The following is a 26,882-nucleotide window of genomic DNA, read 5'->3' on the forward strand; positions in this document are numbered from 1 at the left end:
GTCAGGAGGTTGAGACCAGCTTGACCAACATGGCGAAACCCTGTCTCTACTAAAAATACAAAAATTAGCTGGGTGTGGTGGCAAACACCTATAGTCCCAGCTACTCAGGAGGCTGAGGAGAATCACTCAAACCTGAGTGGTGGAGGCTGCAGTGAGCCGAGATCATGCCAATGCACTCCAGCCTGGGTGACAGAGTGGGACTCTGGTCTCTCATACAAGAGGGAGCACACCAGACCTGATTGGCAAATTATTGTGCATGTCTGTCCTAAGCTGCCTGAGGGCTAGGGAGAGGTGCCTGAAGGACTCATACAAGGTGCTTGTCTTTGTTTTGCCTAACTCAGAATGCATATGGAAACATGGCAGATATTGTGTGTGTATATATATGTATATATATATATATCTACTATATATATAAAAATACTCTAATATTATATATATAAATATATATATGTCTGTAGTGTATATGTGTATGTGTGTGTATATATATATTACATTTTACAGTTTCAGAGAAAGTTTGATATTTATCTAAAATTTTTCAATGTATGAACTTTTTCATTTGACAAACCATAATTGTACATATTCTTGGGATACAGAGTGATATTTCTTTACATGTATAGAATGTGTAGTGATCAAATCAGGGTAATTTCCACTAATTTAAAATGCCACCTTTATGTTATTGTAATTTATATATATACTATATATATATACACACACATATATATACATGTCCACATACAGTGTGTGTGTGCACAGGTACACACATGCATATGTGTATATAATGCCCAGTATAAGCAATGTGCACAAATAAAATTAGCTAACAGAGATAGTATAGAGTGAGAGGAGAGGCAGATTAATCTTTGAGGAAAAGCACAATTTTATGGCTGCATGGAGAAAGCTGAGGTGGTTTCTAAGATGGAGAATAAGACGAAAAATGTAAGTACGTTGTTTGACTGAATTCAAGAAAGAAGGGTAAAAGAGAAGAAAGTAGTGGTCTTATCATTAAATGCCACAGAGAGGTAAAGATAAAAACAACATATTGTTTTGGGTTTAGTAATTTAAGGGTTACCAAATTCTGTTTTGGAGGAGGAACAGATTCCATGTCCACTAGAATGGAATGAACAAGAAATGGAGGAGGAAAACAGGTAGTTTTTCAAAAGTTTTCAAAAATATGAAAAGAAGAAATGAAATGGTACTTGGAAGAGATTGTTGAAATGGGAGAGACTATGGTGGCTTGTTTAGAAGCAGTTGAGATAGATCCAATTGAGATAGAGATATTGACTATATAAACAAAAGAATGACAAATTAATAGTGTAATGGATAACTTGACTTTGGCAAATATTGTGAATTTTTGTGAAAGTACAACTAAAAGGTAATGTCACTCCAATAATCACCAGAGTAATCAATTTGCTTATTGCTGTCCCTTTAAATATAGTTCTCTGGTTTTAACTAACATATTTTTAACTAATGATGCTTCTTAAAGAAAAGGGAAAAGACCTTTTTCTTTCTTTCAGTCTTCAATGATTCACTGCTTCATCTCGCTCCACCAAAGATAAATGAAATCTACATCTCTTATACATTAACAATGCATGACAATTTATAAATAGCTAAATTTTTGGAGCTAACTTTAAGTACCTGAATGGAATTTAATCAACCCACTAATCTCCTTCTCACTTCTCAGTTATCAAGTTTATGTCAAGGGACAAGGAAAAATTATCCAAACATTGTTTAAAACAATCATCATTAATTAGTAACACTTATCCAGGGGGGTTTTTAACCTTTCCCCCACTCAAGGATTATTCTAATGTCAGAGTAGAATAAAAAATAAGTGCAGCGATGCTGACTCTTCCAAGCTTAACATTTCTCACAAGTCAATTAGCTTTGTACTGGGAGGAGGGCGTGAAGGGCTGCTTGCGGTAGTTATGTAGCAGCAGCACAATGGCCGCAGACAAGGAAAACAGTTTCTAGGAATTCCTCGTATATAATTTTATATTTTTGACAAGATTAATGACCCATGCTCCCTTCCTCTCCATTTCTTTTTTAGGAATTCTGTGTTGGTATGTAGTTACTATATTTTATTAAAGGAAATTAGCCTTATCTCATTATATTTTATTAAAGAAAATTATTATATTATTCCTTTATATTTTTATTAAAGGAATTTATTATTATTAAAGGAAATTAGCCTTATCTCTTATTATATTTTTTATGACCTTCAAAGTAGTGTCTCTGCTTAAAAGTGTACCCTGGCTGGGCGTGGTGGCTCAAGCCTGTAATTCCAGCACTTTGGGAGGCCGAGGCGGGTGGATCACGAGGTCAGGAGATCGAGACCATCCTGGCTAACATGGTGAAACCCCGTCTGTACTAAAAATACAAAAAATTAGCAGGGCACAGTGGCGGCCGCCTGTAGTCCCAGTTACTCAGGAGGCTGAGGCAGGAGAATGGCGTGAACCCAGGAGACGGAGCTTACGGTGAGCTGAGATCGCACCGCTGCACTCCAGCTTGGGCGACAGAGCAAGACTCCGTCTCAAAAAAAAAAAAAAAGTGTACCCTGAAGCACACATCAAGCGACATGTAGAGTTCATAAATTCTGGCCAAATGGTCATACCTCAAACCTAATCAGCACTAAGGCTCTTTACTTGCACTGACAAATATGAATGCTGGGGAATTTGGAAATGATATATAATATATAATATTATATATATAATAGATATATAATATATAATATTATATATATAATAGATATATAATATATATTATATATATAATATTATATATATAATAGATATATAATATATATTATATATATAATATTATATATATAATAGATATATAATATATATTATATATATAATAGATATATAATATATAATATTATATATATAATAGATATATAAATAATATTATATATATAATAGATATATAATATATAATAACTGTAGGGAGTCACCATCCCTACAGAAAAATACATGAATTAGCCTAGTGTGGTGGCATTTTCCTGTAGTCCCAGCTACTTGGGAGGCTGAGGTGGGAGGATCACTTGAGCCCAGGGAGGCTGAGACTGCAGTGAGTCATGATCAGGCCTCTGCACTCCAGCCTGGGTGACAGAGTGAGACCCTGTCTCAAAACAACAAAAAAGTAGCAGCTAACATCAACTGACCTTTCATACCAGGTGCCTATTGATATCATAGTTTAATTTCTTATAACTGTTTCTTATTTCACTTACCAACTCTGTCTTCAGTTACTCCCAGATTTTTACTGTGTTTGTACAGATGACCTTTTGTTTAGATTGAATTGTCTCCCCAGAAGTAAGATTACTGTGAGACATGGTGAATGGACATTCTCATTACCCTTGATGTAAATTGACAGGGTTTTGTGTGCCTCCCAGCTATAATCTTAGCACTTTGGGAGGCTAAGAGAGGAGGATTGCTTGAGGCCAAGAGTTGGAGGAGGCAGTATGGCAGTATGGTGAGACCCTGTCTCCATTATTTTAAAAAATTGACAAGCCTTACCCGGGAAGGCTTATACACAATTTAAACACCCCTCACTATGTAGTATAAGAAAGTGCCCATTTCACTGCACCTTTGCCAGCACAGGGTATTATAATTTGGTAAGTCATTTTTTGTTTGATTATTTTAAATAGATAAAAGACCTCATATTACTTTACTTGTCACATTTCAACATCTTTCCTTAGCTTATTAGCTCTATTTCTTTTCTGTCTGTAAATGGTTGTTGTTGTTTTGTTCTTTGAGACAGGGTCTTGCTCTGTCACCAGGCTGGACTGTAGTGGCATAATCATGCCTCGCTGCAGCCTTGACCTCCCAGGCTCAAACTTCAGCATTCCGAGTAGCTGGGACTACAAGTGTGCACCACCACTCCCAGCTAACTTTTTTCGTTTTTTGGATAGAGACAGGGTCTCACTGTGTTGTCCAGACCAGTCTCTAGCTCCTGGCCTTAAGCAATCCTCCTGCATTAGCTTCTCAAATTGCTGGAATTTCAGGCATGAGCCACCATGCCTGGCCTGGGCTAGTCCTGTATTCTCTAGAGTTCTCTTTACTTTGTGCTAGCCAATCTCTCATTATGCTGTTCACCTGTTATAATGAATAATTCTCCATATTAAATTTTACCACTTTAAACTTTTGAGTGGTTTATGCTTCCTGATTGGACTCTGACTAATATGTTAGGAAGAGTCCCAGGAGATAAACCCACACAGATGGGATTTGGGCCTAGGTTTGGTTTCCCAGGGGGCAGTGCTGAGCTCTTTGCCAGTGGGAAATGGGATGCTGGTGATTTCCAGGAATTGACCTCACAGTGACTCAAGCTACCACTTACTGTTGATTGTGATGAAATGCCAGCTGAGGCACATGCCTTGGGAGCTAAGTGGTTGCTGCCCTTGACCACTATGAAGACCGGTGTGGGAATGTGGGAAGGGTCGCTTTGGATGCACTTGAGCAGGGGTCCCCAACCCCTGAGCCATGGAGCCGTAAGGAGCCACACAGCAGGAGGTGAGTGGTGTCGAGTGAGGGAGTGAGGGAAGCTTTGTCTGTATTTACAGCCACTCCCCTTTGCTCACATTCCCGCCTGAGCTCCACCTTCTCAGATCAGCAGCAGCATTAGATTCTCATAGGAGAACGCACCCTGTTGTGAACTGTGCATGTGAGGGATCTAGGTTGCGCTATCCTTATGAGAATCTAATACCTATTGATCTGTCACTTTCTCCCATCACGCTCAGGTGGGACCATCCAGTTGCAGGAAAACAAGCTTAACACGCCCACTGATTCTACATTATGGTGAGTTCTATAATTATTTTATTATATATTACAGTGTAATAATGGAAATAAAGTGCCTAATAAATGTAAATGTGCTTAAATCTTTTGGCCCAGCTCCTACCTCCCAGCAGCCTCTCCAGGCCCAGAACTTTCTCCAGTCAGCCTCTACAGACCAAGCTCATGACTCACAATGGCCTATTTAGGCCCATACCCTACCTCACGGCAGTCTCCGCAGATGAGCCTACTGCCTCACAACAGCCTCCACAGGCACAGCTCCATCGTTACAATGGCCTCTTTAGACCCAGCTCCTGCCTCCCAGCCTTCTCTCCAGGCCCTGAACTTTCTCAAGTCGACCTCACCAGGCCCAGCTCATGCTTCTTTGCAGCCTCTCCAGGCCCAGCTCCTGCATCTTGGTGGCACCTCCAGGCCCAGCCTCTGCCTCCCGTCGGCCTCTACAATCCCAACATCTGCCTCACAGCAGATTCTTCAGGCCCAGCATCTGCCTCACTGTGGACCCCCCAAGCCAAGCTCCCAACCTTTCAGCAGCTTCTACACACCCAACTCCTGCCACCCAGTGGCCTCTTTAGGCCAAGCTCATGCTTCACAAGGGCCTTTCCAGGCTCAACTTTTGTCTCATGGCAACCTTTCCTGGCCAGATTCCTGCCTGTCTCCCAGCAGCCTAGACAGGCCCAGGTCTTGCCTCACACTGGCCTCTCTACATCCAGCTCATGCCTCACGGTGGCCTCTCCAGGCCCAACTCCTGTCCCAGGACGTCATCTCCGGGCCCAAAACTTACTCAAGTCAGACTCTCTAGTCCCAACTGCTGCCTCCTGGTGGCCTATGAAGGCCCAAAATCTCCTCAAGTGGACCTCTCCAGGCCCAGCTCCTGCCTCCTGTCAGCGTCTACAGGCCCAACCTCTGCCTCATGGGGGCTTCTCCAGGCCCACCTCTTCCTCTTGGCTGGGTCTACAGGCACAACTGCTGCCTCACAACAGCCTTTTTTGGCCCAGTTCCTGTCCAGCTCATGGCGGCCAATGTAGGCCCAAAACTTCCTCAAGTCAAACTCTCCAGGCCCACCTTCTGCTTCCCGGTGGCATGAACAGGCCCAGCTTTGACTTGAGAACAGCCTCTGCAGGCCCTGCTCTTGCCTCCCAGGGGCTTTTTCCAGACCCAGCTCCTGCCTCATGGCAGCTGCCCCAGGCCAAATTTCTGCCTGCCTGCCAGCAGCCTCAACAGGCACAGCTCCTCCCTCACAGTGGCCCATTTAGGCCCAACTCATGACTGTCGGGCCATTTCCAGGCCTAGTGCCTGCCTCGTGGCTGACTCTTGAAGCCCAAAACTTCCTCAAATCAGCCTTTTGCCCAACTTCTGTCTACTGTCGGACTCTACAGGCCAGCCTCTGCCTCACAGTGGACCCTCCAGACCCAGATGGTGTCTCACTGTGGCATCCTCAGGCGAAGCTCCTGCCTTTCCGCAGCCTCTACAGGCCCAGCTCCTGCCTTGCAGTGGCCTCTTTAGGCCAAGCTCATGCCCCATGGCGACTTTTCCAGGCACAGCTTTTGCCTTTTGCAGCCTGTCGAGGCCCAGAATGTCCTTAACTCGGCATCTCCAGGATGAGCTCATCCTCCCAGTGCGTCTACAGGCCCGTCTCCTGCCTCACAACAACCTCCTTTGGCCCAACTCCTGCTGAGCTGCTGGCAGCCTCTGTAGGCCACAGAATTCTTAAGGTAAAGCTTTCCAGGCCCACCTTTGGCCTCCCGGCAGGCTCAGCAATCAAACTATTCCCTCACTGCGGCCACCGAAAGCCAAGTTTCTCCCTGCCTCACGGCATCCTCCGAAAACTGAGCATTTGCCTCACGGTGGCCTCCCCAGGCCATGAATCTGCCTGCCTCCCAGGCAGCTGCTGCCTCACAATGGTCTCTTTAGGCCCAGCTCATGCTAAAAGATGGACTCTCCAGGCACAGCTCTTGCCTCCTGGCAGCCTCTGCAGGCCCAAATTCTCCAAAAGTTGGCCTCTCCTAACTCAGCTCCTGCCTCATGTCTGCCTACACAGGCCCAGACTCTTACCACACAGTAGACCCTCCAGGCCCACCACTTGCCTGATCATAGCCTCCTAAGGCCAAGCTCCTGCCTTTCGGCAGCCTCTACAGGCCAAGCTCCTGCCTCGCAATTGCCTCTGTAGGCCAAGATCATGCCGTGAAGTGGCCTTCCCTAGCCTAACTTTTGCTTTTTGACGCATACTCCAGTCCCAAAACTTCCTCCAGTCAGCCGGTCCAGGCCAAGCTCTTCCTCCCAAAGGCTTCTGCAGGCCAAAATCATCCTGAAGTCACCCTCTGCAGGCGCAGCTCCTGCCTCCAAGTGCTGTGTAGGCCAAGCTAATGCCTCACAGCACACTTTCCAGGCTGAGCATTTCCTTTTGTGCATCCTCTCCAAGCCCTGAACTTACTCCAGTTGGCCTCTCCAGACCAAGCTCTCCCTCCCAGTGGCCTCTACAGGCCAAAATTGTCCTCAGGTCAGCCTCTCCAGGGCCAACTCCTAGCTACCGGTGGCTTCTGCAGGCCAAAATCGACCTCAAGTCAGCCTCTTCACACCCAGCTCTTGCCTCTGAGTGGCCTCTCCAGGAGCAAAACTTTCTCAAGTCGGCCTCTCCAGGCCCAGCCTCCTGCTTCCCGAGGGCATGTACAGGCCCAGCCTCTGCCTCACAGCAGACTCTTCACACCCAGCTCTTCCCTGTCTGCGGCCTCTCCAGTCCAAAGCTGCTCCTGCCTTTTGGCAGCTTGTACAGGCCCAGCTCCTCCCTCACGGTGGCCTCTTTCGGCCCAACTCATGCCTCTTGCAACGTGCCCAAGTGTCAGCTCCTGCCTCACACTGGCCTGTTGAGGCCCAGCTCATGCCTCTCGTGGCCTCAACGGGCCCATCCCCTGCCTGTCGGCGGCCTCTACAGGCCCGGCCTCTACCTCACAGTGGGCTCTCCAGGCCCACCTCTTCCTCACCGTGGCCTCCTGGGGCAATGCTCCTCCCTCTCGGGAGCCTCTGTGGGCCCAGCTCCTGCCTCCCAGTGGCCTCTGCTGGCCAAGCCCGTGCCTCAGGGCAGCCTTTCCAGGCCTAGCGTTTGCTGCTTTGCATCCTCTCCAGGCCCTGGACTTCCTCCAGTCGGCCTCTCCAGGCCCAGCTCTTCCTCTCGGCGGCCTCTGCAGGCCCAGACTGTCGTCAAGTCGGCCTGTCCAGGGCCAGCTCCTGCCTCCCGGCGGCCTCTGCAGGCCCAAGTCGTCCTCAAGTTGGCCTCCCCAGGCCCAGCAACGGCCTCTCGGCGGCCTTTCCGGGTGCAAAAGTTCCTCGAGTCAGCCTCTCCAGGCCCAGCTCCTCCTGCCTCCCAGTGGCCTCTTTCGGCCCAGCCCAGCTCATGCCTCCCGGCGGCCTTCCCAGGCCCTGCTTTTGACTTTCGGTGGCCTCTGCAGGCCTCGACAAGGCCAGGCCTCCTGCCTCCCAAAGGCCTGCACAGGCCCAGCCTCTGCCTCACAGCAGACTCTCCACGCCCAGCTAGCTCTCGCCTCACTGCGGCTTCCCGAGTCCAAAGCTCCTGCCTCTCAGCCGCTTCGGCAGGCCCAGCTCCCGCCTGCCAGTGGCCTCTTCAGGCCCATGGGGCTCATTCCTCACAACGGCCTTTCCAGGCCCAGTTTTTCCCTTCCGGCGGCCTCTCCGGGCCCAGAACCTCCTCAAGTCGGCCTCTCCAGACCCACTTGCAGCCTCCGGGCGTCCTCTCTGGGCCCAGCTCTTCCTCCCGGCTGCTCTCCAGGCCCGACTCCTGCCTCTCAACAACCTTTTTGGACTCAGTGCCTACCCATCTCCTGGCGGCCTTGGTCGGCCCACAGCTTCCTCAAGCCAAGCTCCCCAGGCCCAGGTCAGGCCTCACGGTGGCCTCTCCAGGATGAGCTCCTGCCCTCCGATGGCATCTGCAGGCCCCAAATGGTCTCCGGTCGGTGGGCTCCTCCACGCCAAGCTTGGGCCTCCCGGCGACCTCTGCAGACCCAAGTTGTCCTGAAGTCGGCCTCTCCCGGTCCTGCCTCCCAGCAAGTAAGCAAGCTCTTTTGGCTCAACTCCTGCCCAGCTCCCAACCGCCTTTGTAGGCCCCGAACTTTCTCCAGCCAAGTTCTTCGGGCCTAATTCCTGCCGCCCGGTGGCCTGTACAGGCCCAGCACTGGTTGGAGAACAGCCTCTGCAGGCCCCGCGCTTGCCTCCCAGGGGCCTCTCCAGGCCCAGCTCTTGCCCCCATGGCGGCCTCCCGGGGCCAAGTCCCTGCCTGCCTCCCGGCAGCCCGCGTGCGGCCCAGCTCCTCCCTCACGGTGGCCTGTTGATGCCCAACTCATGCCTCTGGCACCCTGCCCAGAGGCGTGAGCCCTTGCCTCACACCGGCCCCTCCCATGCTGACAGAGGTCAGCCTGAGCCCCTATTCTCACACCGGCCCCTCCCAGGCTGACAGAGGTCAGCGTGAGCCCCTGCCTCAACAGGCCACCGTGAGGGAGGAGCAGGGTCGCACGCGGGCTGCTGGGAGGCAGGCAGGGACTTGGGCCTGGGAGGTCGCAGTGGGGCGAGAGCTGGGCCTGGAGACACCCCTGGGAGGCAACAGCTGGGCCTACAGACTCTCTTCTCCAGCCGGAGCTGGGACTGTTCAGGCACTGGGAGGCGGGATGTGGGTCTGAAGAGCTTGGTTGCAGAAACTTCGGGGTGTACAAAGGCTGGCGGGAGCTGAGCCGAAAGAGCTTGTTTGCTGGGAGGCGGGAGATGCAGCCAGGAGGAACAGCTGGGCCTGCAGAGGTGGCCATGCAGGAGGCAGAGGCCGGGCCTCCTCAAGTCGGCCTCTCCAGACCCACTTGCAGCCTCCCGGCGTCCTCTCCGGGCCCAGCTCTTCCTCCCGGCTGCGTCTCCAGGCCCGACTCTGGCCTCCCAACAACGTCTTTGGACTCAGCTCCTGCCCAGCTCCCAGCGGCCCTGGTAGGCCCACAACTTCCCGAAGCCAAGCTCCCCAGGCCCAGCTCAGGCCTCACGGTGGCCTCTCCAGGATGAGCTCCTGCCCTCCGATGGCATCTGCAGGCCCCAAATGGACTCCGGTCGGTGGGCTCCTCCACGCCAAGCTTGGGCCTCCCGGCGACCTCTGCAGGCCCAAGTTGTCCTGAAGTCGGCCTCTCCCGGTCCTGCCTCCCAGCAAGTAAGCAAGCTCTTTTGGCTCAACTCCTGCCCAGCTCCCAACCGCCTTTGTAGGCCCCGAACTTTCTCCAGCCAAGTTCTTCGGGCCTAATTCCTGCCGCCCGGTGGCCTGTACAGGCCCAGCACTGGTTGGAGAACAGCCTCTGCAGGCCCCGCGCTTGCCTCCCAGGGGCCTCTCCAGGCCCAGCTCTTGCCCCCATGGCGGCCTCCCGGGGCCAAGTCCCTGCCTGCCTCCCAGCAGCCCACGTGCGGCCCAGCTCCTCCCTCACGGTGGCCTGTTGATGCCCAACTCATGCATCTGGCACACTGCCCAGAGGCGTGAGCCCTTGCCTCACACTGGCTCCTCCCACGCTGAGAGAGGTCAGTGTGAGCCCTTGCCTCACACCGGCCCCTCCCGCGCTGACAGAGGTCAGCCTGAGCCCCTGCCTCAACAGGCCACCGTGAGGGAGGAGCAGGGTCGCACGCGGGCTGCTGGGAGGCAGGCAGGGACTTGGGCCTGGGAGGTCGCTGTGGGGCGAGAGCTGGGCCTGGAGACACCCCTGGGAGGCAACAGCGGGGCCTGCAGACGCTCTTCTCCAGCCAGAGCTGGGACTGTTCAGGCTATTGGAGGCGGGATGTGGGCCTGAGCGCTTGGTTGCAGAAACTTCGGGGTCAACAAATGCCGGCGGGAGCTGAGCCAAAAGAGCTTGTTTGCTGAGAGGCAGGAGCTGGGCCGGGAGATGCAGCCAGGAGGAACAGCTGGGCCTGCAGAGGCCGCCATGGGGGAGACAGAGGCCGGGCCTCCTCAATTCGGCCTCTCCAGACCCACTTGCAGCCTCCCGGCGTCCTCTCCGGGCCCAGCTCTTCCTCCCGGCTGCGTCTCCAGGCCCGACTCTGGCCTCCCAACAACGTCTTTGGACTCAGCTCCTGCCCAGCTCCCAGTGGCCCTGGTAGGCCCACAACTTCCCGAAGCCAAGTTCCCCAGGCCCAGGTCAGGCCTCACGGTGGCCTCTCCAGGCTCAGCTCCTGCCCTCCGATGGCATCTGCAGGCCCCAAACGGCCTCCGGTCGGTGGGCTCCTCTAGGCCCAGCTTGGGCCTCCTGGCGGCCTCTGCAGGCCCAAATCGTCCCGAAGTCGGCCTCTCCAGGCCCAGCTTGGGCCTCCCGGCGGCCTCTGCAGGCCCAAGTCATCCTCAAATCGGCCTGGAATTGGGCCTGGAAGAGCAGCAAGTCGGCCTCCCCGGGCCCAACTCCGTCCTCTCGGCGGCCTCTCCAGGTGCAAAACTTCCTCGAGTCAGCCTCTCCAGGCCCAGCTCCTCCTGCCTCCCAGTGGCCTCTTTCGGCCCAGCCCAGCTCATGGCTCTCGGCGGCCTTCCCAGGCCCCGCTTTTGACTTTTGGCGGCCTCTTCAGGCCCAGAACTTGACCTCCAGTGGGCCTTTGCAGGCCCGGCCTCCTGCCTCTCGAAGGCCTGCACGGGCCCGGCCTCGGCCTCACAGCGGACTCTCCACGCCCAGCTAGCTCTCGCCTCACTGCGGCCTCCGGAGTCCAAAACTCCTGCCTCTCGGCCGCTTCAGCAGGTCCAGCTCCTGCCTCCCAGTGGCCTCTTTAGGCCCAGCTCATTCCTCACAACGGCCTTCCCAGGCCCCGTTTTTCCCTTCCGGCAGCCTCTTGGCCTCTAATTTGTTTATCTTTTGGGTATAAATCCCAAAATATTGAATTTTGGAATATTTCCACCATTATATAAATATTTTTTTCGGCAATTTATTTGGAGTGAGTTTCTGCACCATGCCCGAATTTTTTATTCTATTTTCCTTATTATTTGGTGTTAAACAGGTTTAATGACGGTCATGGCAACTTTTTGGCACAATGAAAAATATCGCCCATGATCAACGTGTTCTTTTCTGGGGAAGGGGGCAAAGGCAGGGTGAATCACTTTCTTAAAAAGTATAGCTCAAGTTGGGAGTGCAGAGGGAATGGGGAGAAAACCCTCCCGCTCCCTGTGTCGAAGTGCAGGAGCCCCCACCCCCATACTCACCTGAGTCCAGCCCCTCTGAGGAAAGAAGGGGTGCATGAACTCCCCCTAGTCCACAGGCGCCTCCCTGTGGCCCAAGGCCCTCTTCACACTCCATCTTGTAGCCCCAGCAGGAGCTATTTTCCGAAAAGTGAAAAGCTCTGAAGGTCCCACAATTCATGGTATGTACAGGGGCTCGGAGGAGGGAAACTGCCCAGCTTTCCCCCGGCACAGCTGCAGGGGTAGGGGGTATAGATAAGAGGAGCAGGCCTTGGCCAGGCGTGGTGGCTCACGCCTGTAATCCCAGCACTTTGGGAGGGGGAGGCAGGCAGATCACGATGTCAGGGGATCGAAATCAGCCTGGCCAAGATGATGAAGCCCCGTCTGTACTAAAAATACAAAAATTAGCTGGACGTGGTAGCGTGCACCTGTAATCCTAGCTACCCGGAAGGCTGAGGCAGGAGAATGGTGTGAACCCAGCGGGAAGAGGTTGCAGTGAGCCAAGATCGCACCACTGCACTCCAGCCTGGGCGACAGAGCAAGACTCGGTCTCAAAAAAAAAAAAAAAAAAAAAAAAGAGGCAGGCCTTATTCCGTCCCAAACTGAAAGGATTAAATGGCTTTACCTGGGAGAAGATAACCATCCTGCCCTCCATTGCTACCCCCACATACTGTCCATGTTCTCAGGGGGTACTGTGAGTCCTGGGATCTTCTTTGGGGTCGCCCACCTGCCTGTGGTAGTTATGGAGACCCCCAGGTGTTGAGGCAGGGCTGGGGTGTCCCCTTCCAACCAGGCTGTCAAGGCCCCAACTCTGGGGCAGAGGCAGTGGCAGGGCAGCCAGGGTTGCGCCAGAGCCTGAGCAGGGTGAGGTGGGGTCAGGCAGGGCTGGGAGTCAGGGCAGGGGCAGCAGCAGTGGACCCGCTATGCACACATCTTCTTCTCCAAGGTTTGTGTGCAGAACATCCTGCCCATGCTGCCCCAGCAGCTTCAGTTGGCACCTGCCCCAGTCCAGCCTCTGGGAACCATGCAGCGGCTCCCAGCGGCCCTGCACCCACCACCAGCATCCGTTTCACCTGCAGTTGAAGATCCGTGAGGTGCCCAGAAGATCATGCAGTCATCAGTCCCACGGAGCAGCCCGCGAGGCTGAGGCTCCTCCCACTGGACCGCCCCCCCAACTGGCACCACTGCTGCCCCTGCCCCTACTCTCAGCCTCACGTGACTCTCGGGCAGAGGCAGTGGTGGGGCAACCAGGGCAGCGTCAAGAGTCTGAGCCAGGTGAGGTCCGGTCAGGAACCCCACAGGGCTGGGAGTCAGGGCAGGGGCAGAACAAACCTTGGAGGGGAAGATGTGTGCATAGTGGGCCTGGAGAGCAGCTGTGGCCTAGTGGACAGGAAGAAGCAGTGGGCCTGGAAGAGCTGCATGATCAGGGCCGGCACTGGTCCGGGGCGCGTGCAGTGAAGAGGACAGCGCCTTCTCGGTCTCCGGTTCCCTGAGCCTGTCCTCAGCTTCTCCACCTGTACAGGCAAAGGGGAAGCTGTCCCCATCACACATGGCACACTTGGGGGTGTTGGGCTTTGGGCTGCAGCTGGAGCACCTTCTCATCTTGCATCTGGGCGTGGTGGGGTCCTCCAGTGTGGGATCCATGTCCGTGGGGTTCCCTCTGCCCTGACCCCAAAAGCCCAGTCAGTTTCTCTTCAGGCTCTGCCCCCTGGGTGGCTCAGCCCAGCTCCTGCCTAGGAAAGCCTTAGTGTTGGGAGGGACCCTGATGACTGAGGAGCCTGGTAGTTCCAGGTCGCCCACACTTTCAGGTCTCTTGCACCAGAAGGTGGCAGGATCCATTGGGAGGAAACAGATCGCCTTGGAAGGCGTCCCTGGGCCCCCATCCCCAGGGGTAGGGGCCGTAGGGGGCCCGCTCTGCTGTCTTGACCAGACTCCTGGGCTTTGAAGGCTCCTGGGCCCAGTAAGAAGGAGGTGGGTGCCAAGGTTGAGGAGGAAGCATCCGAGTATGTGTAGGAGGAGGACAGGGTGGGACCATAGACTTTGCCAAAAGCTGCAGGTGGATCGGGGGACCCTGGGGGCTCAGGATCTAGCAAGGGGCGGCAGGAGTAAAGGAGGAAGGAATGACAGGTGCAAATACCTTCCCACCAAAGCCCTTGTTGCCCTCTGGCTCCTCCCCAGAGTTGTCCCCACTCTCAGTCGGTCACCCACTCCTTGAACTTGAGATCAGTGTCAGTGGTGCTAAAGCCATCATCAGCAATGACATCATCACCCCCTCCTCCTCATGGATGACCGTGTGCTCCTCGTCACTCGCTATGTCCTCACTGGCCATGTGCTGGGAATGAGCAGCTCAGGTGGGCAGCAGCAGGGCTGCCCACTGGTCACCTCCCTCACCAGGGGCTGCAAAGTGGCCTGGAGCTCCATACTGAGTAGAAGGCTTTGGGCCAGAGTATGATGCAGTGCCAGACACCACCTGTGTCAGTTCCTGTAGTGCCTGACGGTCTATTTCCCTGCCGTCCAGGCTGTGTACCCCACTGTGGGAGAAGGCTTGGGCCAGGCTGAGCCAGGTTTCCTGACTGTGTGCAGCCGTTCTGCCCCACAGAAGCTGCTCCTTGGTATCCGAGCTCTGGAGTGTTTGGGCTGCAACTGACAGGAGTTCAGAGGACACCCCAGGGGCAGTGGCAGTGCCCATCTCTGATATGCTCCACTCCCACGAGCCCTTGTTACACTCCTGCTAGCCCCTGGCTTGTGGGCTTGGCCTCTGAGCTGGACTTCTTTTGGTCCTTGTTGCAAGTGGGCCACCTTCACCTGGAAGGCCAGGTCGTATTTCTGCATCTCATTGGGCCCCAGGGTGTACCATTGCTCGCTCAGCATCTGGCTGATGGTCCGGTTATCCTGGTTGGGGTGACCCTGGTGCGCCCTGCCAGGGCCTGGTGCTGCTTGCTGAAGATTATGACTGCCACTCATGGGCCACCAGATGTGGTCCTTGTCCCATTTGTTGGGGCTGCGTCCATCCTTCTCAGAAGATGAGTCCTGTTCCTTGCGCAGGGCACTGAGGGACTGGGCCTGACATCATCTGAGTGGTAGAGGCAACTGGGTGTCAGGAGACATGATGGAGAGGAAAGCATCATCATGGTCATTCTCTGTCTCACTGTCCAGCAGGGACTCCCCTGAGGGGCTCAGGGCCCCTCCTCCATGGTGGGAGGTGAGCTTTTACCAGGTTCCACCACCCCCAAAGTGTGTGGGGTTGCGGGCCCTGGGCTTTCAGGGCAGGTGGCTCCAGGGGGCCGCCCAGGGTCAACACTCCCCGTCCCACCTGGTGGACGCTCATGAGCAACAGCTGCCAACTTGGCAGGTTGTTTTCTCTGGTTGGAGGCCACTGAGTGACTGGCAGTTTGCTGGGCCTCATGTGGCTGCAGGGAGGGGTCAGGAAGGGGATGGAGTACCAGGGGAACACGGCCACAGAGTGACCTTCCACATTCCTCCACACGAACATGCTGACGCCACGGGAGGCCTCACTGAACGCAGGCCTGGGGGCCGAGTACTTGGTCCGGGCAGGGGGTTCCTGGCAGGGGCTCACACCTCCTCGCCCCCTCCTCAGCCAAGGTGGCTTGGGCCCAGAGAAGGGGGGGTTGGAGAGGAGCAGAAGGCCAGGCCTCAAGTTTTGTTTTTTTTGTTTGTTTTGTTTTTTGTTTTTGAAATGTAGTTTGACTCTTGTCACCCAGGCTGGAGTGCAGTGGCACGATCTCAGTGGCCTTCATACCTGGCTAATTTTTTGTATTTTTACTGGAGGTGGGGTTTTGCCATGTTGGCCAGGCTGGTCTTGACCTCCCGTCCTCAGGTGATCCACCAACCTCGGCCTCCCAAAATGGGATTACAGGCATGAGCCACCGCTCCCAACTTCATTCATTTTTACTTGAAAAACTCCGTTAAGCATTTTTTTAAGGTAGACCTAGTGGTCCTGAATGCCCTCAGCTTTGTTTGTCGAGGAAACACATTATTTCTTCTTTCTTTCTGAAGGACAGCTTTGTCAGACATAGTATTAGTTGCTGGCAGTTTTTTTCTTTCAGCACTTTGAATGTATTATTCGATTCTGTCCTGACCTGCAAAGTTTCTTTAACTTTTGACTATTTGATTATATTGTGACTTGGTGAGTATCTATTTGGTTTGAACCTCTTTAGGAATCTTTAAGCTTCATGGATTTAGATGTCTAAATATTTCCCATGATTTAGGCAGTTTTCAGCCATTCTTTAAATAAGCTTTCTTTTCCTTTCTCTACTTTCCTTCTCAAACTCTCATAACCTGACAATGGTTTGCCTAATGGTGTCTTGTTGGCTTTCTTTTCTCTGTCTCTTTTTTTTTTTTTTTTTTTGAGACAGAGTCATGCTCTGTCACCCAGGCTGGAGTGCAATGTGTGGTCTCGGCTCACATTGCACTCCAACCTCCGCCTCCTGGGTTCAAGCGATTCTCCTGCCTCAGCCTCCCAAGTAGCTGGGACTACAGGTGTGTGCCACCACACCCGGCTAATTTTTGTATTTTTAGTAGAGATGGGGTTTTGTCATGTTGGCCAGGCTGGTCTTGAACTCCTGACCTCTTATTCTGCCTGCCTTGGCCTCCCAGAGTGTTGGGATTACAGGCTTGAGCCACCACGCCCAGCCTTCTTTTCTCTTTTTTATTCTTTTTTTCTTTGTCCTCTGACTGGATAATTTCAGAAGATCTATATTCAAGTTTACAGATTCTCTCTCCTGTTGAAGTTTACTATTGTGTTATATCACCCAGTCTGGTCTTGAACTCCTGGGCTCAAGCGATCCTCCCACCTTGGCCTCCCAAAGTGCTGAGTTTACAAGCATGAGCCACTGCATCCAGTCAGTCCCAGCACTTTGGGAAGCTGAGGTGGGAGGATCACTTGAGCTCAGGAGTTTGAGACCAGCCTGGGCAACATACCGAGAACTTGTCTCTATATTAAAAAAAAAAAAAAAGTCTTTGAGAGGCCAAAGCGGGAGGATCACCTGAGGTCAGGAGTTCGAGACCAGCCTGGCCAACATGGCAAAACCCCATCTCTACTAAAAATACAAAAATTAGCCAGGTGTGGTGGCACACGCCTGTAGTGGTGGTGCATGCCTGTAGTCCCAGCTACTCAAGAGGCTGAGGCAGGAGAATCACTTGAACTGGGAGATGGAGGTTGCAGTGAGCTGAGATCGCACCAGTGCACTCCAGCCTGGGCAACAGAGTGAGACTCCATCTTATAAAAGGAAAAAAGAAAGAAAAGAAAAATTCCATATCTGAGTGTTTACTCCTGAGTTTTTGAGATTGCTATTAAGATCGTGCTCTACTGTGATGATTTGGGTTTGTTTGATAATCAGAAAAAAGCATATCCTTTTGGGTGTTCAGCCACACTGCTTTGGTGTCACAACTGCACATTGGTTTCACAGCTGCAGGACAAGTTCGAGCATCTTAAAATCATTCAACAGGAGGAGATAAGGAAGCTCGAGGAAGAGAAAAAACAACTGGTAGGAGAAATCATAGATTTTTATAAAATGAAAGCTGCCTCTGAAGCACTGCAGACTCAGCTGAGCACTGATACAAAGAAAGACAAACATCGTAAGAAGCAATAGTTTCTCTTACTATTCTGAGAGACTTATCATTCTACATCCCATGTTCCTGTGAGATTGTCTTTGTAGCATTTAACTCTAATTGCAGTTCTCATTTTAAAAATTGGCTTGCTTATTGTATATTTTCCCCAACTAAAGCGTGAACTCCTAGCAGGGCATGGTGGCTCATGCCTGTAATCTCAGCACTGTGGGAGGCCGAGGTGGGTCGACTACCTGAGGTTAGGAGTTCGAGTCCAGCCTGACCAACATGATGAAACGCTGTCTCTACTAAAAATACAAAAATTAGCTAGGCGTGGTGGCTGGGACCTGTAATCCCAGCTACTTGGGAGGCTGAGGCAGGAGAATCACTTGAACCCTGGAGGTGGAGGTTGCAGTGAGCAGAGATCTCACCATTACACTCCAGCCTGGGTGACAAGAGCAAAACTCCATCTCAAAAAAAAAAAAAAAAAAAAAAAAGGGTGAAATTGAAGGCAGGTCCTGTGTCCATCTTTTCAGATTCTGTATCCCAGCACTTAGGACATAGACAAACACGAAGATGACAATCAATATTTGCCAAAATGAAAAAACAAAAGAAACATGTAATATCATGTAAAAGAAGCTGGTTAGGTGGAGAAATTTATTTACCATAGTCTTGCTTGTGGATCCAGTAGTGACTTTTACATTTTATATCTAAATAGAAGCTGGAGGCTTTGTTGGGGACTCATAGGCATAAAATATTATGTTATTTATTATAGAGTTAAATGCTACAAAGACAAATCTAATTAATAGGCCTATTTTCCTTTTTAAATTCTACTCATAATTTCTTCATAGTTTTTATGATAAAAGGTTGGATTTTGATTAGAACTCCCATGCTTTTGTGTCAGAATTAAAACTGGTATTAGAATAAATAATTCAAAAGCTAGAGAAAGAGTACAATGAGAAGCCATGAGTTGCATTTGAATTATAATATTATGTCTTACAGATTTGGGGTATATGCTAAAGTTACCAAAGTTGTAGAAAATAAGGCCGGGCATTGTGGCTCACATCTGTAATTCCAGCACTTTGGGAGGCCGAGGTGGGCGGATCATTTGAGGTCAGGAGTTCGAGACCAGCCTGGCCAACATGGTGAAACTCCGTCTGTACTAATAGTACAAAAATTAGCCAGGCGTGATGGTGTGCATCTGTAGTCCTTGCTACTCAGAAAGCTGAGGCAGGAGAATCGCTTGTACCCAGGAGGCAGAGGTTGCAGTGAGCAGAGATTGTGCCACTGCACTCCAGCCTGGGTGACAGAGTGCTATGAGTCACCACACCTGGTATGAGCCACCGTGCCTGGCCCACAATGACTTTTACACATGTTGTTAAATCATCTTACAGATTTTATAATTTGGGGGAAGAAAAGTTTTACTAAATGGTCTTTTAATGGAAACTCTACAAGAACCAGAATCTTTGCTTTGTTCACTTATGTATCCATTCCTAGGCCTAGAAAAATGTCTGACACATAGCGGCAATTATTCATTGAATAAATGGACCCAGCGATAGTACATTAGCTGTGCTATATGCATACATTAAAGATGTAGATTATTGACTTTCAAAAGATAATTAATGTAACTTCTTACTGCTTCTGAACATGTTTGTGAGTTATATTGCTGAGGGACCTTTATCTTCTCATTCTTTCATCTTAACCCAGTGTTATAAAATTGAAATCACCAATATTATTCCATATCTAAAATTAATATCTACCTTGTAAAAAATATCACTCTGCTGCATTTGAGAATAGACTTTTTAGGTAACAATGATGCAATCCATAGGGTTTTTTGGGGGCACAGAGGGATTCATGCTAACAGAACATTTTATTTTCTATTTTCCCAGAGCTGTAAAACATGAAATTAGGGTAGTATAAGGCATATTTTTACTCTTTTTATAATTTTTTCTAAAAAAAATTAGTGTTTGTTCCCTATATAACTTTTAACTTTATAGGTAAATATTTGTCTCTTTCAGCTCCAGTTTTATGTGAAATAGAGTTTTCAGATTTATGTAGCATGGAAAGTTTTAATACGTCAGAGTTACTGATTTTTGCCATTTTCTCAATTATTTCTTTTTTATCTTTAGTTGATTTTTTTGTAGTGACACATTTTGTTTCTAGTCTCATTTCCTTTTGTTTATATTCTATGTATATTTCATTTTTGGTTACTATGAGAATTACATAAAACATCCTAGAGTTATAACATTTTAATTTGAATTTATTTCAACTTAAGTTCAATCACATACCAAAATTCTACTGCTATATATATAGCTCTACTCTTTTTATGTTATTGATGTAACAAATTATGTCTTTATTCATTGTATACCAGCTAACAGATTTACAATTACATTTTATGCATTTGCCTTTTAAATTATGTAGAAAATAAAAAGCAGAGTTACAAACCAAAATTACAATAGGACTGTTTTTATGTTTGTTTATGTATTTACCTTTACCAGAGAGCTTTGTATATTCATACAGCTTGCTTATTTACTTATATAGTTATTGCCTAGAGTTCATTTATTTCAACCTGAAGGACTTAACACTTCTTGAATGGCAAATTCAGGGATAAATGGATTTTTTTCAGTTTTAAAAAAAAATCCGGAAATGTCTTAATTTCTCCCTCATTTTTGAAGGATAAGTTTTCCAGCTATAGATTTCTCAATTGACAGGTTTCTTCATTATTTTAAATATATAATCCACTGCCTACTGGCCTTCAAGGTTTCTGCCGAGAAATCAGCTGCTAATGTTATCTGGATCCCTATCTGTGAGAGTTGCTCTTCTCTCTGAGTTTTCAACATTCTCCCATTATCTTTTTTTGTTTGTTTTTGAGACAAATAATTGTACATATTCATGGGATACAGAGTGATATTTTGATACATGTATACAATGTCCAATGATCAAATAAGGATAATTAGCATATCCATCACCTCAAATATTTGTCATTTATTTGTATTGTGAACAGTCAACATTCTTTCTTCTAGTTTTTTAAATTTATAAACATTTAAATTTTATTATAGAAATTTAAATTTTTTGATTCTGAAAAAGTCATATATGTATGCAACATCTTTTTATCATTTATTTGTATATTTATGCATCTTTCCTTTTAGTTTTGACAGAGATTTTCTATTTTATCATTATTTCAAAAGAACTCTTACCTGTATTTATTTATCAATTATATTTCCCTTGTTTTTTCCTAGTATATTAATTTATTTACTTATCTTCTAAAAATCCTCCATATAATCTGTTTATTTTGTTTCCTTTCTATAATTTCTTCAATGATTAGTTCTGTTCTATTTTCCATTAAAATATTTAAATCTCGTATGAATTTTTGTCAGATTAGAAATTTAGGGCATTTCTTAATTTCTCTATATTCTAGCTTTTGACTTTTTTTTTTTCTGACCTAAGAGGTATTTAGGGCACATTTTAGATTTTTTATTTTGACTAATCATTTAAAATGTATACTAATCTTCAATTTAAATAAAAAACTGGTCTATAGTGACAAAAATTACAAATGAGCCTAACTAATAAATTATCAGCTGTGTTTATATGTATAAGCATGCACAGATTTTGGTAAATATGTACATAGTATATTGGTGAGCTTATTTTTATCATTCTTAACTCGTTGTGTAGTCTAAACGCTGGGGAAAAAATAAAATACAATAATCAGATGGTGTGAATAGGAAAATAGTTCTAATGTTTGTAAACCAAGCAACTGTTTTAACTGCTCCCCTCTTCCTGATTGACTTCTAAAAGGGATTAATCCATATTGGGTCCTATCATATATGTCACGGTATAACATCTCCAGCTATAAAATGGAAATTTGAGAATAACTTTGCTGCTACTCGGATACATTTTATTTCAAAAACATACACTAAGGTGTTGCTGTTGGATCTTTCCAAAAACATATTCACACAGAACTTTCAATCACACTGAGCCATATTTGAACAATCTTTCAAGGTCAGCTCTGGCATAAGCTAACATTATACCATTTAACTCAGAAATTTCTTTAGTATTTGATTAATGGGTTTATGTTTGATATGTAATGTAATTTTCTAATGCTAAATCAAGTGGTAATTTTGTTAGTCAAGTTGATTTAGTGGCTTGGGAAGAAAGCTTTTAATGTTCCCCTAATTTTTCTTACCTTTGACATGATCCTTCACATGTCTTATTTTGCTTAGTGATTTTTCTTTTTTTTTTTTGAGACAGGGTCTTACTCTACCACCCAGGCTTGAGTGCAGTGGTGCGATCACAGCTCATTGCAGCCTTGACCTCCCAGACTCAAGCTATTCTTCCACCTCAGCCTCCCAAGTAGCTGGTACTACAGGCACATGCCACCAAACTTGGCTAATTTTTGTATTTTTTGTAGAGACGGAGTTTTGCCAAATTCTCAGGCTGGTCTGGAATTTCTGGGCTCAAGTAATCCTGCCTTGGCCTCCCAACATGCTGATATTACAGACATAAGCCACAGTACCTGGCCAGTTTTCTTTTTTAAAAAATCTATTGGTTATTAATTTGAAGCCTTCCTTTTCATAGCTGTGCTCCTTAATTGGGAGCAAACATGAATGGACTACAACTTAGCCAATTTTTTATATACAATCTTTGCCATCCTAATTTAAAGGAATATTAATTCTTTCTTTTCCTCTTTCATTCCACAAACCTGTATTGACTACATCTAAGTTCTAAATGGTGCACTGGATGTTGAAAAAGTTGATGATGAGCAACAACAAAATTCCTCCTTTCAGGAGACTTACAGTTCAATATGGGAAATATAATTTGTTAAAATATAAAAGTGCAATTGTGTTACATGCTGTACGAAGTACATGTTGACATGTGAGCATATAATAAATGGGCTGGAGGCCAGAGGATTGCCAAAGAGAATGGGCCTCCTGCTGAGACGAAAAGTTGAGCAGGGATTAGTTGGCGAAAGTGGAGGGACGATCCTTTCTAGGCAGGAGGAAGAACATGTACAGAATCTCTGAGGTGTGATGCAACAAAGTCTATATAAAAAACTGAAGAAAGGTCTAATGTGGCTTAAATACAGAAGCTAGTAGGAGAGGAGTTGAAAAGAGGCTGGAGAAGTAGAAAGTGTCTGCATTCTGCAGGAACTTATATTGTATAAAAAGAATTTCTCTTTATTCTAAGTGCAATGTGAAGCCAATGAAGTGCTTTAAACAGGTGATGTGATTTGATTGAATTTATTACTTCACTTAACAAATATTCATTACATGCCCACTGTTTGTCAGATATTGCTGTAGCCCCTGGTGATACAGTAGGGAATAAAACAGGCAAAAATCCCTGTCCTCTTGCAGCTTATAATGGACTGCAATGTTTAATATGTCAGAGGAGGTCCACGGAGGAGTGACTTCTAAGCAAGAATCTGAAAAAAATGAGGATATCTAAGGAGGGAACAAATGGTTCAAAAGCCCTATAATTGCAAGCAGGCGTGATGAAGCAATTGTAGTTTTCCTGACTCTCAACACCATGGAACTCAAAGGAGATGGAAAGATTCTTTCTCTCCCTCATATATTTTCTCCCTTTCTGTCTATATATATAGAATATGAGACATTTCCCTAATCATTATGCGTAATTACAATTACATATATATATGTATGTAATATATAAACATATATATATGTAATTGTAATTACACATAATGATTAGGGAAATGTCTCATATTCTTCTACTCAGAAATAAGCAATATAGCAATTACTTGCTATATATATATATGTAGCAAGGTGAACTCACATCCTGCAGATGCCTAGGGCAGAAGATTATAGTTGAGACCTACAATAAAACACTTAAGACCCAGTAGTAAAAGCTGGTGAGGGTTTATTTGGGAAATCAGGGCATTCAAAAGCACCCATGTGTACAAGGGGATTTAGAAGGCCACATGCATGCCCAGGGCAAGATGCATCCTCAGAAAACACCTGAGGAGATCCTAAGCTTCCACTTTGGGCTGATCCCTAAGCTAAGTGCAGGCTTGGGTAAGTGTTGAAGGAGTGCCTGGCACAGAGTCAATCTGCAAAGTCTGGGAGTGGTTATTTGGTTCCTGCTATTTGTTTGTTTGTTTTTAGTTCCTGATATTGAAGGGAATCTCTGTCAAAACACAAGCTGAGATCGAGTGCAGTGGTTCACCCTTGTAATCTCAGCACTTTAAGAGGCCAAGGTGGGAGGATTGCTTGGGCCCCAGGGGTTTGAAACCAGTCTGGGCAACATAGTGACACCTAGTCTAAAAAAAATTTAAAAATTAGTCCAGCATGGCAGCACACTCCTGTAGTCCCAGCTACTCAGGAGACTGAGGTGGGAGGATCGCTTGAGCCTAAGAGGTGGAGGCTGAAGTGAACCATGATCATGCCACTACACTCCAGCCTGGGTGATAGAGTGAGATCCTGTCTCAAAAAATAAAAATATAAAATAAAAAAACACAAGCTGAACACAGGCTATGGACAAAATGTCAGTGATTGAATATGGCAAGGAATACAGTCTTTGCAAAAAATAGTTTGGGAAAGTCATTATAGAAATTATCTGCTACAGCCTTCAACAATCAAAAATCCAGCAAACACTGGGAAAAGGGGTAATCTGATTTCCAAAGTTATCACATTATAATATTTAAATGTCTAGTTTTCAAAATAATTACACAGCATAAAAAGAAACATGAAAGTATGGCCTATTCAAAGGAACAAAATAGATCAAAACTGTCCCTAAGGAGCCCAGGCATTGGACGATTGGATAAAGACTAAAACAATGATCTTAAATATGCCCAAACAGCTAAAGACAATGAAAATCAGGAAAACCATGTATGACAAAATAAGACTCTCAGTAAGAGATAAGAATTATAAAATGAGACCAAACCAAATTTTTGGCATAAAAGGTGGGATAACTGAAATGAAAATTTCACTAGAGGGGCTCAATAGCAAATTTCAGCAGGCAGGAGAGTCTGCAAACCTGAAGGTAAGACAACTGAAATTATTACGTCTCAGGAATAGAAAGAAAAAAGAACAAATAAAAGTAAAGAGAGTCTAAGAGCTGTATGAGACACCATCAAGTGGACCGATATACACAGTTAGAGATTCACAGAAGACAGAAAGAGGTAGAAAGAATAGTTGAAGAAATAATGGCTGAAAACTTCCCAAATCTGAGGAAAGACATGAATATACTTGTCCAAAAAGCTCAATGAACTTCAAGCAGGATAAACTTAAAGACACCCACACCAAGACAAATTATAACCAAATTGTTGAAGGAAAAAGACAAAAAGAAAAATTTGAAGGCAACAATATGAAAACATCTCATGCACAAGGGATTCTCAGTAAGATTAACATCTGATTTCTCATCAGAAAAATAAATGATGCCAGAAGGCAATAGGATAACATATTTAAATCTTGAAAGAAAAAAGCCCTGTCAACTAAGAATTCTATATTTAACAAAAATTTCTCTTTATTCTCATTTGAGAATAAAAGATAAATTAAGACATTTCTAGAAAAACAGAAGCTGAGGGAGTTTATTATCAGAAGATTGTTCCTACAAAAAATGCTAAAGGGAGTTCTTCAGGCTGAAAGGAAAGGACATTAGACAAAATCAAAGCCATAAGAAAAAATAAAGAACACTGGTAAAGGTAATTACATAGGTAAATATATAGGCCACCACTAATGTACTTTTGGTATGGTTTGTAACATCTTTATTTTTCTATATGATATAATAGGCATACACATAAAATAATATCTATGTATCTAACTTAATTGGCATATAATGTATAAAGATGTAATCTGTGACAAATAATAATATAAATGGGGAGGCACAGAGATGTATAGAAGCAGAGTAGTGTATAGAAGACAGAATTGAAACTAAGTTGGTATTATTCAAACCAGGTTGAAAGTGGTTACCTTGGGGTAACCACTAAGAAAATAACTTTAAAATACACAGAAAAGGAAAGAAGGGAATCAAAATTGTACATTACAAAAAATCAACTAAATATAAAAGAGGTAGTAATTGGGGAGCAAAAAATTATATAACATATAGAAAACAAATAAATGGCAGAAGTAAATCCTTTTATCAGTAATCACATTAAAGGTAAATTAACTAAAATCTCTAAGAAAGCAGATTGGCATATTGAATTTTAAAAGTCAACGTGCATCTATATGCTGTCTACAAGCGGCTCACTTTACATAGAAGGATGCAAAGAGGTTTAATATAAAATAATAGAAAAAGACTTTCTATGTAAATAGTAATGAAAAAGAGCTGGGATGGCTATATTATTGTCAGAAAAATATACTTTACAAGAGACAAGGAAGAACAATATATAGAGAGGAAAGTCTTCATACAGCAAGACATTATGGCTATAAACATATAAACACCTAACAGACACAAAAAATTTATAAAGTAAACATTGACGGAATTGAAGGGACGAACGGTTCTACAACAGTAGTTGTAAACTTCAATATCCCACCTCAATAATGGATAGAAAAACCAGACAGAAGAACATTCAGAAAATAGAGGATTTAGAAAATACTATAAACCAATTAAACCTAAAAAAACATATAGAGCATACCACCAAACAACTATAGAATGCACATTATTTTCAACGGCACATAGAACATTCTCCAGGATAAATCACATGTTAAGCCACAAAACAATTCTTAATAAATGTTAAGAGATTGAAATAATCTGAAGTATTTTTCTGATCAGAATGGAATGAAACTAGAAATCAATACCAGAAGGAAAACTGAACATTTTAGAAATATGTGTAAATTAAACAAAACACCCTTAAACAACCAAGGGTCAAAGAAGAAACCACAAAGGAAATTAGAAAATAACCTTGAGACACATGAAAATAAAAAAGAAACATACCAAAACTTCTGGGATACCATGGAAACAGTGGTAATAGAGAAATGCATAGCTGTAAACACCTACATTAAAATAGAAAAAATATTTCAAATCAATAATTGTACACCTTAAAAATTAGGGGAAAAAAGAGCAAACTAAACCCAAAGCTTCCATCCAAGAGAATGGAAATAATAAAAATCAGATCAAAGATAAATGAAAAAGAAAATAAAAACACAATAGAAAAAAATCAATAAAACCAAAAGTTATTTCTTTGAAAAGGCCAGCAAAAAATGACAAATCTTTCAATAGAACAGCCAAGAAAGAGAGACACAAGACTCAAGTTAATAACATCAGAAATGAAAGTGGGGACATTACTACTGATTTTACAGAAATAAAAAAAATGACTAAATGCCATGAACAATTGTATACTAACAAATTGAATAGCCTAACTAAAATGGATATTTCTAAAACACAAAATGTGTTAAAACTGACCC

The 26,882-nt window shown here is 46.2% G+C and overlaps 1 protein-coding gene, 1 long non-coding RNA gene and 3 pseudogenes across 2 annotated transcripts; 4 read left to right on the forward strand and 1 right to left on the reverse strand.

Moving 5' to 3' along the window:
* Positions 1–4,347: 4,347 nt before the first annotated feature.
* Positions 4,348–5,257, forward strand: LOC107985355 (uncharacterized). Its single transcript, NR_153418.1, has 3 exons — positions 4,348–4,499; positions 4,727–4,784; positions 4,878–5,257. It is a non-coding gene; the product is annotated as an uncharacterized LOC107985355 (long non-coding RNA).
* A 1,884-nt stretch (positions 5,258–7,141) lies between these two features.
* LOC124904532 (nascent polypeptide-associated complex subunit alpha, muscle-specific form-like) lies at positions 7,142–9,263 on the forward strand. Its single transcript, XM_047439119.1, has one exon. It carries the CDS (start codon positions 7,142–7,144, stop codon positions 8,693–8,695), a length of 1,554 nt encoding a protein of 517 aa, XP_047295075.1. The 3' UTR covers positions 8,696–9,263.
* A 1,245-nt stretch (positions 9,264–10,508) lies between these two features.
* Positions 10,509–11,707, forward strand: LOC729033 (putative uncharacterized protein FLJ44672; annotated as a pseudogene).
* Positions 13,710–15,541, reverse strand: CICP26 (capicua transcriptional repressor pseudogene 26; annotated as a pseudogene).
* Positions 17,386–17,763, forward strand: SEPTIN14P17 (septin 14 pseudogene 17; annotated as a pseudogene).

The sequence above is a fragment of the Homo sapiens genome, chromosome 1 (genome assembly GCF_000001405.40).
Source record: "Homo sapiens chromosome 1, GRCh38.p14 Primary Assembly".
Classification (NCBI taxonomy): domain Eukaryota; kingdom Metazoa; phylum Chordata; class Mammalia; order Primates; family Hominidae; genus Homo; species Homo sapiens.

What these genes read in the sequence shown, in the direction of transcription:
- LOC124904532 (XM_047439119.1), top strand. Translation starts at nt 7,142, where the DNA reads ATGCCTCACAGCACACTTTCCAGGCTGAGCATTTCCTTTTGTGCATCC.